The sequence below is a fragment of the Homo sapiens genome, chromosome 21 (assembly GCF_000001405.40).
Source record: "Homo sapiens chromosome 21, GRCh38.p14 Primary Assembly".
In the NCBI taxonomy this organism is placed as follows: Eukaryota; Metazoa; Chordata; class Mammalia; order Primates; family Hominidae; genus Homo; species Homo sapiens.
The window spans coordinates 5,510,424-5,511,612 of record NC_000021.9 but is presented as its reverse complement, the minus strand read 5'-3'; positions in this window follow the sequence as shown (position 1 = coordinate 5,511,612).

Here is a 1,189-nt window from a genome sequence, read left to right as displayed (position 1 = left end):
CCAGGTGCTGAGGACCAGGCCATCTTACCTGGAGAGTTCTGGCCCTGAGACATCCAGACCAACATGACGTTTAGGTGCAGACAGCTGGCCCTGGGTGGCCCTGTGCTGATCACCGGCCTCGGCCCCTCAAACAGTGGGAAATGGAAGAATGGCTTGGAAATGGGCCCTGTCGACTGTGTGTCATCTGAGCACATTCTCCCAGGGGCCCAAGAAGGGCCATCGTGTCTCCAGAACCAGAACTGGAAGGTAAACTGTCAGGGGGGACAAGGAAGAGGGTCCTCAGTTGGGTGGAGGGTCTCACAGCAAGACGCCTGGCTTAATCAAACTTGGCCATTCCTGAAGCACGTTCAGTGACTAAAAGTGCCTAACATGAGCAGCTGGAACCCACTCCCTGAGAGCTGCAAGATCCATGGGGACCTCATGTACCTGTTTGTAATTACAGACAAGGACCAGCAGGCAGCATTACCGCATCCACATGGGGCTTTTGCTGGACACAGTAAGTCTCTGCCAGCCCCTCCCAGGCTCCTGGGATGCCACTTGTTCTGGATCTGTGGACAGATAACCAGGATACTTGCTCAGTGTCCATCCACTCCTTGTGGCCTGAAGCCTATCGCTCAACCCTAGCCCCACCAGACCTGCTTCCTAAGGCATTCCTCTTGCCAGAAGGAAAGGCAATGCCTTTGTCCCACAGCCCCTGCCTTGTGTCATGTCATGTGGGGGTATGGAATGAATCGGCAGCCGAAACTCCTGTCCTTCTGCCTGAGAATTCTATCTTCTCTGTCTGAGTTACCCTCTAGGGAGCTGTCAGTGGGAGAGAGAGCAGCTGTGGAAGAGAGTCCCACCTGCTTCTGTTTGACTTCAGGGCAGCCTCTCAGGGCAAGAACCCAGAGCAGGTGGAGGCCTCACAGAAGCCTGTGGCAGGGCTCTGGGCTTGATGGGCTGAGCATCTCCCTATCTGCTGTCTGCAATGGGGCCCAGAACCATCCATTCAAGAGGGTCACCACCATATTGCAGGTGTGCAGCTGGACTGTTCCCAAGGCAGAGGCTGCCATGGACTGCAAGCACACAGAGGATGTACACCTTGAGCGTGGACTATGAGGAGAACATTTTTGAAGAGGTGCATGCAGCCTGGCCCTGCCTTCACTGGGAACCCCCTTCCTTCTGGGTACTAGACAGAATTCTGTACACT